We start from the raw sequence: 14,676 nt of genomic DNA, 5'->3' as shown, positions 1-14,676 counted from the left end.
AATTAGCCAGGCGTGGTGGCACGTGCCTGTAGTCTCAGCTACTCGGGAGGCTGAGGCAGGAGAATCACTTGAACCTGGGAGGCAGAGGTTGCAGTGAGCTGAGATCATGCCACTGCACTCTAGCCTGGGCAACAGAGTGAGACTCTGTCTCAAAAAAAAAAAAAAAAAAGAGATCACTGATCTCTTTGATCACTGAGATCCAGGATAACAGCTGCAGAAGAGGTGATTAGCCAAACAAACAACACACAAATTGGTATGTAAAAATAATCGGTGCCCTGGCTAGCTTATCAGTCCATTGAGGTAAAAGCGATCCTGTACAAAAACTACCACTGTGCCAGAGGAGTGAAGAGGCAGCAAGCTAACCACGCAATTCAAAACAGGCTCTTGTCAAAAAAATTCTCTAGTATATGATCACCCTGAGACTTACCCACATTTCTTATACTTTCTATGAAATGCTAAGGCTCACTTTTAATCTAAAATAGACAAACTTTCTTCATGTGCCTCTGAGTCCTCTTCTAGTTTCACAAAGGATTAAATAAAAAGGGCCTCAAAGGACAAAAGAAGGAAGTATAGAAAGGAGGGATGGAGGGAGAGACAGGGAGAATGAGAATACAGAAAAATAGAGGAAAGCAAGAAAGAGACAGAGGGAGAAAGATAAACGGAGAAAGAAGAAAGAACAAACAGCAGAGAGAGAAACAAAGAAACAGAGACAGAGGAAGAAAGAAAAGAAAAAAGTTCATGGGAAAAAAATAGTGATGCATTTCATGGAAAAGCTATTTGTTAAAGAGTCCCTCTTTTTTCTGTGTACAGTATCATGCCATATGTGGGAAGTGAACAAGGCTGGAACACCGCCTAAGAACATCTGCCACGGACTTTAAAAGCCCTAATAATAGCACAGCTGGTGTCCCCAGCCTAATGAGCTCACCACCCACGTGACTGCTCCTTCTCCAGCAGATTCTCCAGAGAGAGAAGGCAGCCAGCAAGAGAAGCAGTCCCCGCCCCCGCCCTCCCCCACATTCATGCTTTATTTCCTCCACGGCTTTCATTCTCCCCTTCCAGAAACCACCCCTTCTCATTTTCTTGAGCTAAGTTACCCTGATCCAGCAGTCCTTTGAACAGACACATTCTTCTTTTCTCCTTCCCCTCTCCCTTTGAACAGACACATTCTTAACATGAAAGGCAAATACCAGAAATAAAATATGGGGACATCACTACAGGTCTTATGGACATTGAAAGAGTAATAATTGTGCCAATTAATTCAGTAGCTTAGATAAAGTGGATAAAGCCCTTAAAATACACAACTTATCAAAATTAATGTAAGAAGATATAAATAACCCTATACTTATTTTTAAAATGGAATTCCAAATGAAAAATTTTCTACACCACAACGAAAGGCCAGCGTGCCCCAGCGTGCCTCGTTGCCAGGGTCTGAGGTACAGGCCCCTCCAGGAGTGCTGGTCTGGGAAGTTATGTCTGACAGGAAGACTCTCCCCCTGACCAAGGCATATTGCTAGGAGGAAACCAAGCACAGCAGAAAGCGGGGCAGGGAGGACGTAAACAAAGAAGTTAGGTTTTTACAAGGTTGGCAAGTTTTAACCCCCTCTGGTATAATCTTTTGAAACTAATTCCCATCACGGTATGCTTTTAAAAGCTCTCTAGCATTTTAAGAAACTGCAACTTAGCATCAGGAAGGGAAAGAATTTCAGCTTCTAAGGGGAAGCCTAGCAGAAAGTGACAAGAGGAGACTCACGTTGGCACTGATGTGGTATCCCTAGCAATTGGAAGAGAAGCTGAAAAATCTGGGATCTCTCACTCTCAGTCCAGGGCAACACATCCTGACAGCCAGGAAGAGTCAAATGGCTATGGTAAGACGTATGGGGTTTATTCACCAGAAAAAGACAAAGAACGCCACATTTCAAAACTCAGGCTTGGTAACACAATAGCATGGGTGTGTATGCAAGCATGAAGTACTGAAGCTAACAAATTACTAGATTCTATCCCTGTCTAGCAAGTACTTATTTCAATAGCAATCATATGATTAGCTGAAAGTGGGCAATCATTAACTTCATCTACTGTTAAACAGTTACACACAAAAACATGGTGCTTTATATCTTGTTAATATCATGAATAAGTTATGTAACCCTTGACAGTGTTCTGTTTTGATTTAAAATACCAATGCTATTGCTGCCATAAGTTAAACACTGCAAAATTATAAAACTTCAAAGATAATTACAGCATTTTAAGGACTATCATAAATACTTTTATGCAACTGCGATGTTTACAAGGCTAAGCCAGCATCTCTTCTGAAAAACAAAGAACCAAATGATACAACTAGAAATATCTGCATACCTACTATGTATAAACAAACCCAAAAGATATTTTAGCTTCTATCTCACTTGGCCTCTCACAGCAGAGTAACCCTGTGAACCCTACCCTTCACCAAAAGAACACTCCCTCCCCCAGCAATTCTGGTCTTCTCCCAATCTCTAGTCACTACTCCTCTGTGAGTTCTCCTACACATGGATATCACTACACAGGAATGGTCCCCAAACCCTTGCCTCAAACTCCTATCCCTCTTCGAAGTGTCAGGCCCAGACGTCCCACTGCCCTAAACATCTCCACTTAGAAATCTCAGGAGTAGCCGGTCACGGTGGCTCACGCCTGTAATCCCAGCACTTTGGGGGGCCAAGGAGGGCGAATCACCTGAGGTCAGGAATTCGAGACCAGCCTGGCCAACATGGCGAAACCCCATCCCTACTAAAAATATAAAAATTAGCCAGGCGTGGTGGCAGGCGCCTGTAATCCCCAGATACTCGGGAGGCTGAGGCAGGAGAATTGCTTGAACCCGGGAGACGGAGGCTGCAGTGAGCCAAGACTGTGCCACTGCACTCCAGCCTGGACAATAGAGTGAGATTCCGTCTCAAAAAAAAAAAAAAAAAAAAAAAAAAACCCTCACGAGCACGTCAAACTCAGCACATTCAAAACAAGACCCTCCAGGTCCTCACCGCTGGGACAACTGATTAATGGTGGTCCAACTCAGAAACCTCAGCCTTATCCTTCACTCCGCCCCCTCCCTTACCCTACCACTATCTCTTCAACAACAAAGGCTTATCTCTTAAACATCTACCCACACTATCACTCGCTAACCCCCACCCTCTCTCACCTTGAGTACAGCCAGAGCTTCCAGCTGGGTCTCAGTCATCATGGAGGTAAGATAAGGTCTAGGATCACATACGGCCTAGGACACGTTTACCAAAGTAAAGCCAGCCACCACTCCTAATGCCACCCAACCCTGCCATGGGCCTTCTCTTTGGAACATCTACAGACTGCATCTCTTTTCCGCCCTAGTGACCTAATGTGGATGCAACTTGAGTTTGTGAGGGAAATTCTCAAACTTGCTTGTGATGATCAATCTGCCATGCTGCCTTTTGCCAAACAGAGAATTCAGTATACTATAAAGAACAAAAACTACATTAAAAGATAGCCAAACTCCCAGGAATATTTATTTTCTTTTTGTTGTTTTTTTTTTTTTTTTTGAGATGCAGTCTCGCTCTGTCGCCCAGGCTGGAGTGTAGTGGCGCAATCTCGGCTCACTGCAACCTCTGCCTCCCGTGTTCACGCCATTCTCCTGCCTCAGCCTCCTGAGTAGCTGGGACTACAGGTGCCCACCACCACGTCCAGCTAATTTTTTGTATTTTTAGTGGAGACAGGGTTTCACCGTGTTAGCCAGGATCGTCTCCAACTCCTGACCTCGTGATCCGCCAGCCTCAGCCTCCCAAAGTGCTGGGATTACAGGTGTGAGCCACTGCGCCTGGCCAGGAATATTTATTTTCTTTATTCCTTTCCATGAGTATCACTTCTACTATACCATCAAGAGACTTACCCCAGCTAAAAGTTTTGCAAGTTAACACTCAATTGTTGTGAAAATATTCCTCTTGTACAAAAGTTTTTTGTTTTTGTTTTTTTTTTTTTAAAACAGGGTCTCTTTCCATTGCCTAGGCCGGAGTACAATGGTGTAATCATGGCTCACTGCAACCTCTGCCTCCTGGGCTCAAGCGATCCTTCTGCTTCAACTTCCCAGACAGCTGGGACTACTGGGGCACACCACCATGCCCAGCTAATTTTAGTACGTTTTGTAGAGATGGGGTTTCACCATATTGCCCAGGCTGGTCTCCAACTCTTGGGCTAAAGCAATCCACCCGCCTTGGCCTCCCAAAGTGCTGGCATTACAGGCGTGAGCTGCTACACCCGGCCAGTTATTTAACAAGACTAACTACTTTCCTATCTTTCAAATACAGTATAAAACATCTACTGCAGCAGTCAACGTTTTAGTCTATTTTACCAATGATTTGCCTGTCACACCTTTTATCCACTGCTGTAATAATAACAATCTGCTTGTTTTCTCAAATAGAAAGATGTTTTCCCAAATATATAACACCAAACTATGTTTCTTCCACAAGAGACCTTTGGAATGTCTTGATATTCGAATCCAAAGCAATTCTTCTAATGCCTTGGGACCACTGAAAAATTAACCCTTTCTCCTCAAAGTCAAAGCAGAGAAGCTAGTTGATGGGTGAGCAAAAACCACAGCTCACATCAATGCTTTAGGCCATGGGGGCTATTCCTGTTACTGTCATACAGAGCAAGTCCAGGGCACACCCCACCCTTGAGGTGTGGCACAGAATACCTGTTCCAAACTATTTTTGGATGAATGGATCATAAGGAGTTCAGTAAAAACAATAATTATGGCTAACACAAATGCTTCCTCTTAGCCAAGCACATGTATAAATTCACATAATCCTCTTAATAACTGTATGAGGGCCAGGCGCAGTGGCTCACACCTATAGAATCCCAGCACTTTGGGAGGCCGAGGCAGGTGGATAACTGACCAGGAGTTCGAGACCAGTCTGGCCAACACAGTAAAACCCGTCTCTACTAAAAATACAAAAATTAGCCAGGTGTGGTGGCACACACCTGTAATCCCAGCTACTTAGGAGGCTGACGCAGGAGAATTGCTTGAACCAGGGAGACGGAGGTTGAAGGGAGGCAAGATCGTGCCACTGCATTTCAGCCTGGGCAACAGAGTGAGACTCCATTTCAAAAAAATAATAACTGTATGAGGTTATCATATAAGGTAATGATTCCGAAGCTGCCTGTCATAAACAGGAGTTGCTGGGTTCAACACACCTAAGCAACAATCTTACAGGGGAAAAAAGAACATGGCTTCAAACACATCAATGCTGTGCTGCATTGTATCTACACTGTTCAATCTGAAGGTTTTTACTTTTTAATTAATGAATGAAAACAAAGCTACTTCCCACTCAGGTACATAAAGCAATTGTACAACTGTACAATTCCCATAGTATTCTGCATTTTATTTAAAATATATTCTAGATGCAAAGGTTGAAATGAAATGCTCACTGTCTAGGTGACACTCTTTTATTCTCTACTAAGAAAGCCAGTAAACCAATTGTCTCAGAAATTCTGCACCCAAATGTAATACTCGCAGACACAGCACCAGTGAGTCATACACATAACAAATTGCTCATTTTCCTCCTCCCCACCTTTCCTCTAAATCATTATAATGCTATTCCTGAATCATAGGTTTGGTTTTTTGTTTGTTTTGAGTTTTTAATTCTCCAGTATAAAGCTTGCCAATTCCAACTTCCGAACATGACAAGAATCTGTCCCTTTAGTTTAAGTAAACCTCCAATTTTCTTCCCAGGTTTGAAATTCTTCAGTGCAGGCAAGGCCCACACCTCTGGATCTCACACTAAGTAAAAAATGCCCCTTGATACTATAACTGTCTTACTAGATCTCTTAAGATATCAGATTACCAAACTCCCCAACTGGAAGTCCAACAGGCAAACCAAGTTTACTGTGGGAGCCCTGTATTCAGAAACACAAGATGTAGCATACTCTTTTACAGAGTTATCTTTTTTTCTTCTGGAAGTCTCATATACCAAATCCAGAGAAGAATGAACACTTGGAAAACTTAATTTTTACTAAAGCTGAACATATGTCTTATGACCCAATGATCCACTCCTGAGCATATACCCGATAGAAATGAGTACTTATACACTTAGTTCATAGCAGCTTTATCCATGATAGTCCCAACTGGAAAAAAAACAAATGTCCATCCACAGGTAAATGTATGAACAAATCATGATATAACCATAAAATGGAATACCATCCCACACTAAAAAGGAATGAAGCACTAGTACATGCAACAAATGGATGAACATTGCAGACAAAACATTGAGCAAAAGACCAGACACAAAAGTACACACTATATGACTCAATTTACATGAAGCCCAAAACAGGCACAATTATCCTATGGTAATAGAGGTCACAAGAGTGGTTATCTACAAGGAGTTACTGGCAGTACAAGTGGTATATGTAAGTAAAATTAATGGAGCTAAGATAATTAAAGGTTCAATGCGTAAGAAATTAAAGGTTCTAGTTAACTTGTCAACCTTAGATGGTAATGCAACATGATATAAAATATTTGTTCCACAGAACACAGTAGCAACCAAAAGTCAGGCAGAAACCGAGACAGCATTGTCCCTCTCGTGAGCATTGTCCTCTTCCCACTGCTGTTCTCCAGCCAGAACACGGCCACCTGGTTCCACCATGAATCTGGACCGTCAGTCCCTTTGGCATGAACAGCTGAGCTGTCTTCAGTCACTCTCTCCCTGATTTTCTCATCACACTGAGGACAATCAATTCTTCTGGAGGTCAAAGGAATTTGTCTTCCCCACTCTCCAAGAAATATTTCCCAATGGTCCTCAGACAAACATAAATTCAAGGGTAGTTTCTGCTCTCATTGTTTACCTGCTCCTAAAGGTCCAAATTCCTGACTCAATAATACAGCTGAAGCCAAACCACTTCTAACATTATAAGGAGACATTTTATCTTTGGTCACATCTCAAATCTCAAACTGGAAATTATTTGATAGAAACCCATAATAAAAGGAGGCAGCCTACACTAGAGGCTGTGTATCTAGAGTAGGTTGTATCATATATGTTCTACATTTTGCAAAACTTAAAAACTGAGAGCTTACAGAATGTTAGCATAAAAAAAATCCAGACCCACAGCACACGTTGTTTATGTTAAAGAACTGCCTGGCCAGGTACAGTGGCTCATGCTTGTAATCCCAGTACTTCGGGAGGCCAAGGCAGAAGGATCGCTTGAAGCTAAGGCAGCCTGGGCAACATAGCAAGACCTCACCTCTACAAAAAAATTTAAAAAAGAAAAGAAAATTAGCCAAGTGTGGCAGCACGCATGCTACTCAGGAAGCCAAAGCGGGAAGATGGCTTGAGTCCAGGAGTTCAAGGTTACAGTGAGCTATGATCAGGCCACTGCACTTCAGCCCAGGCAACAGAGATTCTATCTCTAAAAAAAGCACTTTTTTATTGTACCAAAACAACCAGAGGAACTGATGGACAACTTCTAAAATCCCGTGGTTCTGTATATGCATAAATGCTTTATCTCTGTAATCCTGGAGAGAGACAAAAAAAAGTGAGATCCTATATCCCTATTCTAATTAATATGCTTTTTTTTTCTTTTTCTTTTTCTTTTTTAATACTCTGTTGCCAGGCTGGAGTGCAGTAGTGCGATCTTGGCTCAATGCAACCTCCACTTCCCGGGTTCAAGCCATTCTCCTTCCTCAGCCTCCCGAGTAGCTGGGATTACAGGCGTCCACCAGCACGCCCAGCTAATTTTTGTATTTTTAATAGAGACGGGGTTTCACCATGTTGGCCAGGATGGTCTCGATCTCATGACCTCGCAATCCACCTGCCTCCACCTCCCAAAGTGCTGGGATTATAGGCGTAAGCCACCACACTCAGCCATTAATATGCATTTTAAGTGACATAAATCAACCTGCATCTATGTAACGGAAGATAGGATTTGCTAATAGTTCATCTGTATCAACATAAATTAGTAGACGGTGACATCTTTTAATCAACATAATCATGTTATCTAGTAACTAATTCTAGTCATTAAGGAGGAATGCAATAAGTGCTCTGAATAGTATGCTAAAGAGATACTTTTCGAAAATGTCAAGCCACTTAGTCCACATGTTCACAGTTATTTTCTCCTACTTCTTAAAAGAAAAAAAAGATTTTTAAAGTCACCTGAGTACCCACAGCATGGTCTTATTTAACATTCAAATGTGGATAATTTATACTGTGATGGAGCATCCTTGTCGGATGTTAGTACAAAATCCACTTCCTCTGGATAGACTATCCTCTCCTGTTGAATGTCCTGGAACTAGAGGAGACCCTAGAAATAATCCAGCTCCACGATTCCCAAACTGGGGTACATGTGCTTATGCTGGGGATTCCCCAGAACCTCAGGGAAAACAAGGTACATTTTCCTTAAGAGCACTTTTTGACTCAGACAGCAATATTTTTTTTTTTTTTTAGATGGGGTCTCGCTCTGTCACCTAGGCTAGAGTACAATGGTGCAATAATGGCTCACTGCAGCCTCAATCTCTTGGGCTCAAGAGATTCTCCCACCTCAGCCTCCCTAGTAGCTGGAACTACAGGTGCACATCACCACACCTGACTAATTTTTCTTTTGTCTTTTTTTTTTTTTTTTTTGTAACAATGAGGTCTCACTATGTTGCCCAGGCTGGTCTCGAACTCCTGGGCTCAAGTGATCCTCCCACCTCAGCATTCTAGGAAGGGCTATTCCCAGCTTCACCTGTTACATAGCAAGAACCTGTCTCTATTTAAGAAAAAAAAAGTGTTTAAGGAAGTCCAAACAGGCTGCCTACAGGCACACTGCCTATGAGTTAGCCCTGCTCTGCAAGGAACAGCACTGTAAAATAAAAATAATAAATTTTGAAAACAAAAAAATTAAGTCCAAACAAGGATTTCAAGAGCTCCCCTCCCACCCCATTCCACCCTGTTTCACCTCAGGTGCACTATTAACAATAATAATTAAATAAATTTCTCACTATAATGAATCATACTACACAGCCTTTCATAAAATGCCTATCATAGCCTTTAAGCAGCTCAACATCATTGGTATTCTGTGTAACTCAGGAGACATCCAGTTTTACACATATGCAATTATTTACTGTCTCTTCACTAAAATTTGCACTTTTCAACACTGCAAGTGGCCTCCACTTAGATACATCTAAGAAGACAAGTCAGAATAGGGAACATTTGTTTGAAAAGAAGGGGGGAAAAGGAGGTGAGAAGCCAGAAGACCCATTCATTCAACAGTGTATCTCTGTCTAACAACAGTGTATCTCTGTCCAAGAATAAAATAAAACCTAAGAACCCACATAAGCCCTTGGGTTCTATCTCCATCTTTTAAAAAGAACATCCTCTTGTCTTTCCCTACAAAAATCACAGTGCATGCCAAATATAGATGAGTTAAATAAATCTGAGTCCATTTTCTTTTGTTTTGTTTTGTTTTTGAGACAGAGTCTCACTCTGTCGCCCAGGCAGGAGTGCAATGGCACAATCTTGGCTCACTGCAACCTCCACCTCCTGGGTTCAAGCAATTCTCCTACCTCAGCCTCCCACGTCGCTGGGATTACACACGCATGCTGCCACGCCCGGCTACTTTTTTTGTGTTTTAGTAGAGACGGGGTTTCACCATGTTGCCCAGGCTGGTCTCGAACTCCTGAGCTCAGGCAATCCACCTGCCTTGGCCTCCCAAAGTGCTAGGATTACAGGTGTGAGCCACCGCAGCCAGTGGTCAGAGTCCATTTTCAAAACCAAGGGTCACAGAATCATATATGTGAAGAGGCTGGTCATGGTACTTTAAAGTTTATCAAACTTCCCGACCATACAGTATTAAGCTCTGGCATGCACAAAAGGCTTTACTGAATATCTGCAACTCTCAGTGAGTTTAAATGACTGTTCGCCCTCCAATGCCTTTCTTACTTGAGCCCCAAAGGGTAAAAAAAGAACTGTCCCTTGCAGAAAAACTGGCCACCTATCTGCTTACTCTCCTTGGCTCTCTTATGAGCTATATGGTGCTACAGAACAATCGCATCTATAAAAACTCCGACAGCTGACGGAGAGGAGAATGCCCAAGGTCTGTTCTCTACCTTGGGAGCACGAAGTCAAGATGGAGAGCCCAGATGGTTAATTCAAGAATCACCAAACAATTACAGAGGCCTACTATATACAAGGTCAGAGGCAGGGACTCAGAATGCAACGACAGGGACTGGGAGTGGTGGCTTGCGCCTATAATCCCAGCACTTTGGGAGGTCATGGCCAGCAGATCACTCGAGGTCAAGAGTTTGAGACCAGCCTGGCCAAAGTGGTGAAACCCCGTCTCTACTAAAAATACAAAAATTAGCTGGGCGTGGTGGCAGGTGCCTGCAATCCCAGCTACTCGGGAGGCTGAGGCCAAAGAATCACTTGAACCTGTGAGGTGGAGGCCGCAGTGAGCCAAGATCGCACCACTGCACTCTAGCCTCGATGACAGAGCGACACTCTGACTCAAAAAGAAAAAAAAAAACAAAAAACCAGAATGCAATGACAGGAACAAAGTCCACTTAAGATGGCAAACCTTAAGGTGTTGTTAGTTTGGAAAGTGAAAGTTTAAGAACTCCATTCAATGTGAATAGTGCTCTATTATTTTTGAAAGCCCTTTTATTTTTATGTTTTTTGTTTTTGTTTTTGTTTTTGAGATGGGGTCTTGCTCTGTCGCCCTGGCTGAAGTGCAGTGGCGGGATCTTGGCTCAATGAAACCTCTGCCTCCCGGATTCAAGCTATTCTCCTGACTCACCCTCCTTAGTAGCTGGGATTACAGGTGCCCATCATCATGCCCAGCTAATTTTTGTATTTTTAGTAGAGACGGGGTTTCACCATGTTGGCCAGGCTGGTCTCGAACTCCTGACCTTAAGTGATCCACCTGCCTCAGCCTCCCAAAATGCTGGGAATACACGCACAAGTCACCATGCCCGGCCCAAAGCTCTTTTATATTACCTGATTTGACCCTCATAATAAACCTATAAAACAATAATTACTATTATATGCTTTATTATCCCTGTTGGGGCTCAAAAAGCTTACCAAATTACAAACCCAATCATGTTGGAAGGAGACCTGAAAACGCTCCCATGTCATTCAGTCAAACTTTTACAGACACCTCCATTTAAAACATTGTCTCCCAGAGAGGGGAGAGCAGGACAGAGAGGTTAAGTAAGGTCACACAGCCAATAGAGAGGAGTTGGAATTTCAGTCCAGGTTTCCCACTCCAAGACCACAGAGAAGGAGAAGCAACACAGCCAGAGTGGAGACACCCTCAAGCGAGCGCTGGGGATGGGAAACTGGTCCCTGGGGCATCAAACAGGAAACGGCTGGTGCTGGGGCCAAGCTGAAACCCAACTGTTGCCAAACTCGCAGCCCTGAGACAAGGGCTTTAAACCGATTCAGCATCCCCCAGAGCCGGGCTCAGCTTTCCAGCTGGCTTAGGCTACACTGGGCTGGGAACCTCTGTGACAAAGCTGAGGTCCAAGATCAAAGAGCAACCGAGTATGACCATTCCAAACCGAGAGACAGAGGGGAAGGCGCCATCTGTCACTCCAGGTCCAACTCTCCAAACCTACCAGTCAAGCTCCCAGCCTGTTGTCCCTTCACTCAATCTGGGGAGACCCTCCCCAGTGCAGACTGGCTCCAGGGCTAATCAGAGCTTAGTCTGAGCACCTTCCTCTTCGCTGCTCTTGTAGTTGGAAATTGGAAAGGACCCTGGAACTAGACCGTTTCCCTATGGTAACCTCCACTCTCCTTCCAGATAAACAAAAGACCCTCCAGAAAAGGTTACCAGTCCCGAATACACACTCACAGACAGTATTGACAACGTTTACACTTTTGAAGCAAATAAAGTTCCAGTGAAGCATATCAGAAAAAAAAAAAAATCAGCGGTCCAACGACGAATACTCTGAAGGCTCTCAAAGCGGACGCTAATTTCAGTGTCTGAACAAGTGCAGCCACGGGTTCTAAAACAGGCAAGCTTAAAGCGGAAGGGGCACCCAGCACCAGCCTCAAGAGCAGGCCGACTTTTAACATCTTTCCTGAAACACAACTTTACAAAAGAAGAAACGATACAGTTCATTACATTTGTTTTTACCTGCAAGAGCTTGACCTTGGAGACTAGAAAAGAACTTTAAAAATCAGGTCAAGAAAGTGACAAAGTAAACTTGTTAACTCTCAAGGATGCAAAGGAGGGCTCTAAAGGCTCTCTGCTCTCTGACACGCTCAGATGATGTCATTTTCATCAAGTTTTGCGGGTGAGTGGGAATCGGGGTGCTGCCCGCGCTCAGCTCCAGGCTCTTTGAAGGTCGCCTCACTGTCACCTCGGAGTGCCGGAGCGCGGAATCCAGGCCACGCGGCGTGGCCGACACGATGCCCTAGGGGCACTTTTCCGGGCTCCGAGGGCCTCCTGCAGGTGCGGCCGGTGCATTAGGAGGGCTGTCCCCGCAGGGTCCCGGCGCCCGGCCTCTCACGCCGCCACTATCTCACGCGGACACTCCCAGAACACCCGTGTCCTTCCCCAGCCCCTGGGCCCGAGGCGCAGGCGGCGCGGGTGAGCGGACCCCTGGCTTACCCGCAAGAGGTGCACGGAGCGCAACCCGGCAGCAGGCGCGGTGCCGGGGGGCCTCGGTGGGGGCTTCCTCCGCGTCGTTCTCGGCCCGGCCCCGGCCGCCCGGCGGCTTCGGTTCCCTCCGCTGCAGCCGGCCGGGCGGCACGGGGGCACTCGCGGGGGCTCCGCTCTGGCGCCGCCGCCTCCTGCTGCCCGCCTGCCGCTCTGGCGCTCCTGGGCTCGGAGTCCGGGGTTCCGAGACGCGGGGGTCGTCGGGGCGTTCGAGACTCTCGGGGACGCTAAGGCTGCGCTCCGGCTCTCCCGCGCGCGGCCCCACTCTGGGGGACGCCTCGCTTGAGGCGCGCGGGCGTCAAGGGCTCGGGGCGCGCGGGGGCGGCGGCCGGGTGGGCCCCGGGGCGGCGGGCGGGGGCGCTGCTGCGGACGCGGGCACTGTTGCGGGCGCCGCCGCGCGGCCTCTCGCCATGGCTCCCCCGCGAGCGGGCGGCTTGCACCTCCCCTCCGCGCTGCCGTCACCGCCCGACGCGCGCCGAGCCCTCCCCCTTCCCAGCCCCGCCCGCCGCCCCGCGCCGCCACCTGCGGGCCGCCCTCCAGGATGCCCGCCGGCCACGTCCTAGTCGCCTGGAGCCGCGCCCCGCCTTCCTCGCCCGCGGCTGCCCCTGCACTTTTACCCACGCCGTGGGGCACAGAGAAGTATCCGGTAAAGACCTGGATCCGGAAAAGCTGATCACATCCCTCCCCGAGCGCTTATTTACTTCTAGCACTTCTCGGGGTCCTTCCAGAGTCAGTCTAAGAGAAGGATGGGACCCCCGCGGCCCGGGGCGCTGATTGTCGTGAACACAGTGGAAGTCCAGGCGTTCTGTTCCTGCAGGGCGGGCTGTCTCCTAGCAAAGCCGCCCTTAGGCTTAAATGGAGGGAGGATGGAGCCGGGGACGGGGGGAAGGCTGGAGGGGATGGAACTGGCTGTTGGACTAAGATGCCACCAAAGGGTGACAGGCAGGGGGCTGGCGGACAGCAGAGAGGGGATCAGGAACCGATCCAGGAAGTAAGAGCTCACAGGCCACTCTATTATGCAAATCACTTGTGGACGGTTTAACAGGGAACAACCCACATGATCTCATTTCCAGTTGAGGCTACTGAGTCTACTTCTTTTCAACCCAGGGGTCATAGAGGACATTGGGAGGACTTGAAGAAGACTCAGACCAGAACCAAAGGTGTAAGGAAACTAAACCCTGCAAAACCTGATTTCTCATACTGGCATAGACTTGACTTGAAGAGATCATCAAGTGTATAGTGAAGATTGGCTCAGGCAAGAATCATCCATGAATGCTTACTCTAGGGGGCTGTTACTGGCTGGCAGATATTTGTCTGGGTTGATGTGTCTCCCCATAGATGGTTTAGACCTGTTAGTAGCAAAAGCGGAAATAGTAACTATACAAAGAGGCAGGCAGACAGCATCTTAACCAGGTGATCAAAATTTACATCACCAATGAGAGCAGATGGATATCATGTCCACATCAGCTATGCAGTATTCCTGGGGACAATGCATAACCTGAATCATGATAGTGAAACATCGGACAAACCCAAAATGAGGAACATCTATTAAAAAGAGGAAGGGTCTGTATTATTCAAAAATGTCAAGGTCATTAAAATCAAAAGAAAGCTTGGGAAATGTTCCAGATTAAAGGGTGCAAAAGAGTCAGGGCAGCTAAATGCCATGCCTGATCCTAGACTGCATCCTGTGCTAGAGGAGGGGAAATACATCACGGACATTCCAGCTGACAAAATCAGAATCCATGTAAGAGATTAAAGTATTGGATCAATGTTAAATGTACTGATGTTGATAACTTCCACTGTAATTATGTACAAGAATATCTAATTCTTGGGAAATACACACTAAAGTATCTTGAAAGGGTAAAGGTCATAATGTATGCAGCTTACCTTCAAATGATTCAGGGGAAAAAAAATCTTGATAGGAAAAAATGATAAAGCCAAGTGGGCAATAAAGGTAAGGTGCATATTATCAGTGAATCAGCATATAGAGTGTACTTGAACATTTCTGTAAGTTTGAACTTATTTCCAAATAAAAAGATTTGGAAAAATCCA

The 14,676-nt window shown here is 45.7% G+C and overlaps 1 protein-coding gene and 1 long non-coding RNA gene across 5 annotated transcripts in view, besides 8 other annotated features; one reads left to right on the top strand and one right to left on the bottom strand.

Annotated features, from left to right (window-relative positions):
* TRAK1 (trafficking kinesin protein 1) overlaps positions 1 to 13,601 on the bottom strand; it is a 212,798-nt gene extending 199,197 nt beyond the window's left edge. For 3 of the 4 annotated variants that reach the window (XM_017005909.2, XM_047447722.1, XM_017005911.2), the window contains exon 1: positions 12,577 to 13,062. The gene's annotated coding sequence lies outside the window, so the exon portion shown is untranslated. Of the gene's footprint in view, positions 1 to 12,576; positions 13,063 to 13,278 lie in introns of those variants that run through there. The other variant, XM_047447718.1, reaches the window with a different exon arrangement.
* Positions 1,438 to 2,356: an enhancer, noted in NCBI's record as "H3K27ac-H3K4me1 hESC enhancer chr3:42065830-42066748 (GRCh37/hg19 assembly coordinates)". NCBI's record gives its function as "activates a minimal SCP1, AML or CMV promoter by ChIP-STARR-seq in primed H9 embryonic stem cells {active_cell/tissue: H9 hESC(primed)}" and the evidence as "EXISTENCE:reporter gene assay evidence [ECO:0000049][PMID:30033119]".
* Positions 11,358 to 11,859: an enhancer, noted in NCBI's record as "H3K4me1 hESC enhancer chr3:42056327-42056828 (GRCh37/hg19 assembly coordinates)". NCBI's record gives its function as "activates a minimal SCP1, AML or CMV promoter by ChIP-STARR-seq in primed H9 embryonic stem cells {active_cell/tissue: H9 hESC(primed)}" and the evidence as "EXISTENCE:reporter gene assay evidence [ECO:0000049][PMID:30033119]".
* Positions 12,253 to 12,392: an enhancer, noted in NCBI's record as "active region_19729". NCBI's record gives its function as "activates an Ori minimal core promoter by ATAC-STARR-seq in GM12878 lymphoblastoid cells {active_cell/tissue: GM12878}" and the evidence as "EXISTENCE:reporter gene assay evidence [ECO:0000049][PMID:35858748]".
* Positions 12,583 to 12,652: a silencer, noted in NCBI's record as "silent region_14242". NCBI's record gives its function as "represses an Ori minimal core promoter by ATAC-STARR-seq in GM12878 lymphoblastoid cells {active_cell/tissue: GM12878}" and the evidence as "EXISTENCE:reporter gene assay evidence [ECO:0000049][PMID:35858748]".
* Positions 12,713 to 12,872: a silencer, noted in NCBI's record as "silent region_14241". NCBI's record gives its function as "represses an Ori minimal core promoter by ATAC-STARR-seq in GM12878 lymphoblastoid cells {active_cell/tissue: GM12878}" and the evidence as "EXISTENCE:reporter gene assay evidence [ECO:0000049][PMID:35858748]".
* Positions 12,913 to 12,982: a silencer, noted in NCBI's record as "silent region_14240". NCBI's record gives its function as "represses an Ori minimal core promoter by ATAC-STARR-seq in GM12878 lymphoblastoid cells {active_cell/tissue: GM12878}" and the evidence as "EXISTENCE:reporter gene assay evidence [ECO:0000049][PMID:35858748]".
* Positions 13,073 to 13,192: a silencer, noted in NCBI's record as "silent region_14239". NCBI's record gives its function as "represses an Ori minimal core promoter by ATAC-STARR-seq in GM12878 lymphoblastoid cells {active_cell/tissue: GM12878}" and the evidence as "EXISTENCE:reporter gene assay evidence [ECO:0000049][PMID:35858748]".
* LOC107986077 (uncharacterized) lies at positions 13,125 to 14,676 on the top strand. The gene is made up of 2 exons (XR_001740668.2): positions 13,125 to 13,270; positions 13,732 to 14,676. It is a non-coding gene; the product is annotated as an uncharacterized LOC107986077 (long non-coding RNA).
* Positions 13,373 to 13,442: an enhancer, noted in NCBI's record as "active region_19728". NCBI's record gives its function as "activates an Ori minimal core promoter by ATAC-STARR-seq in GM12878 lymphoblastoid cells {active_cell/tissue: GM12878}" and the evidence as "EXISTENCE:reporter gene assay evidence [ECO:0000049][PMID:35858748]".

The sequence above is a fragment of the Homo sapiens genome, chromosome 3 (genome assembly GCF_000001405.40).
Source record: "Homo sapiens chromosome 3, GRCh38.p14 Primary Assembly".
Lineage (NCBI taxonomy): Eukaryota > Metazoa > Chordata > Mammalia > Primates > Hominidae > Homo > Homo sapiens.
This window is presented reverse-complemented; position numbering and strand designations above follow the sequence as displayed.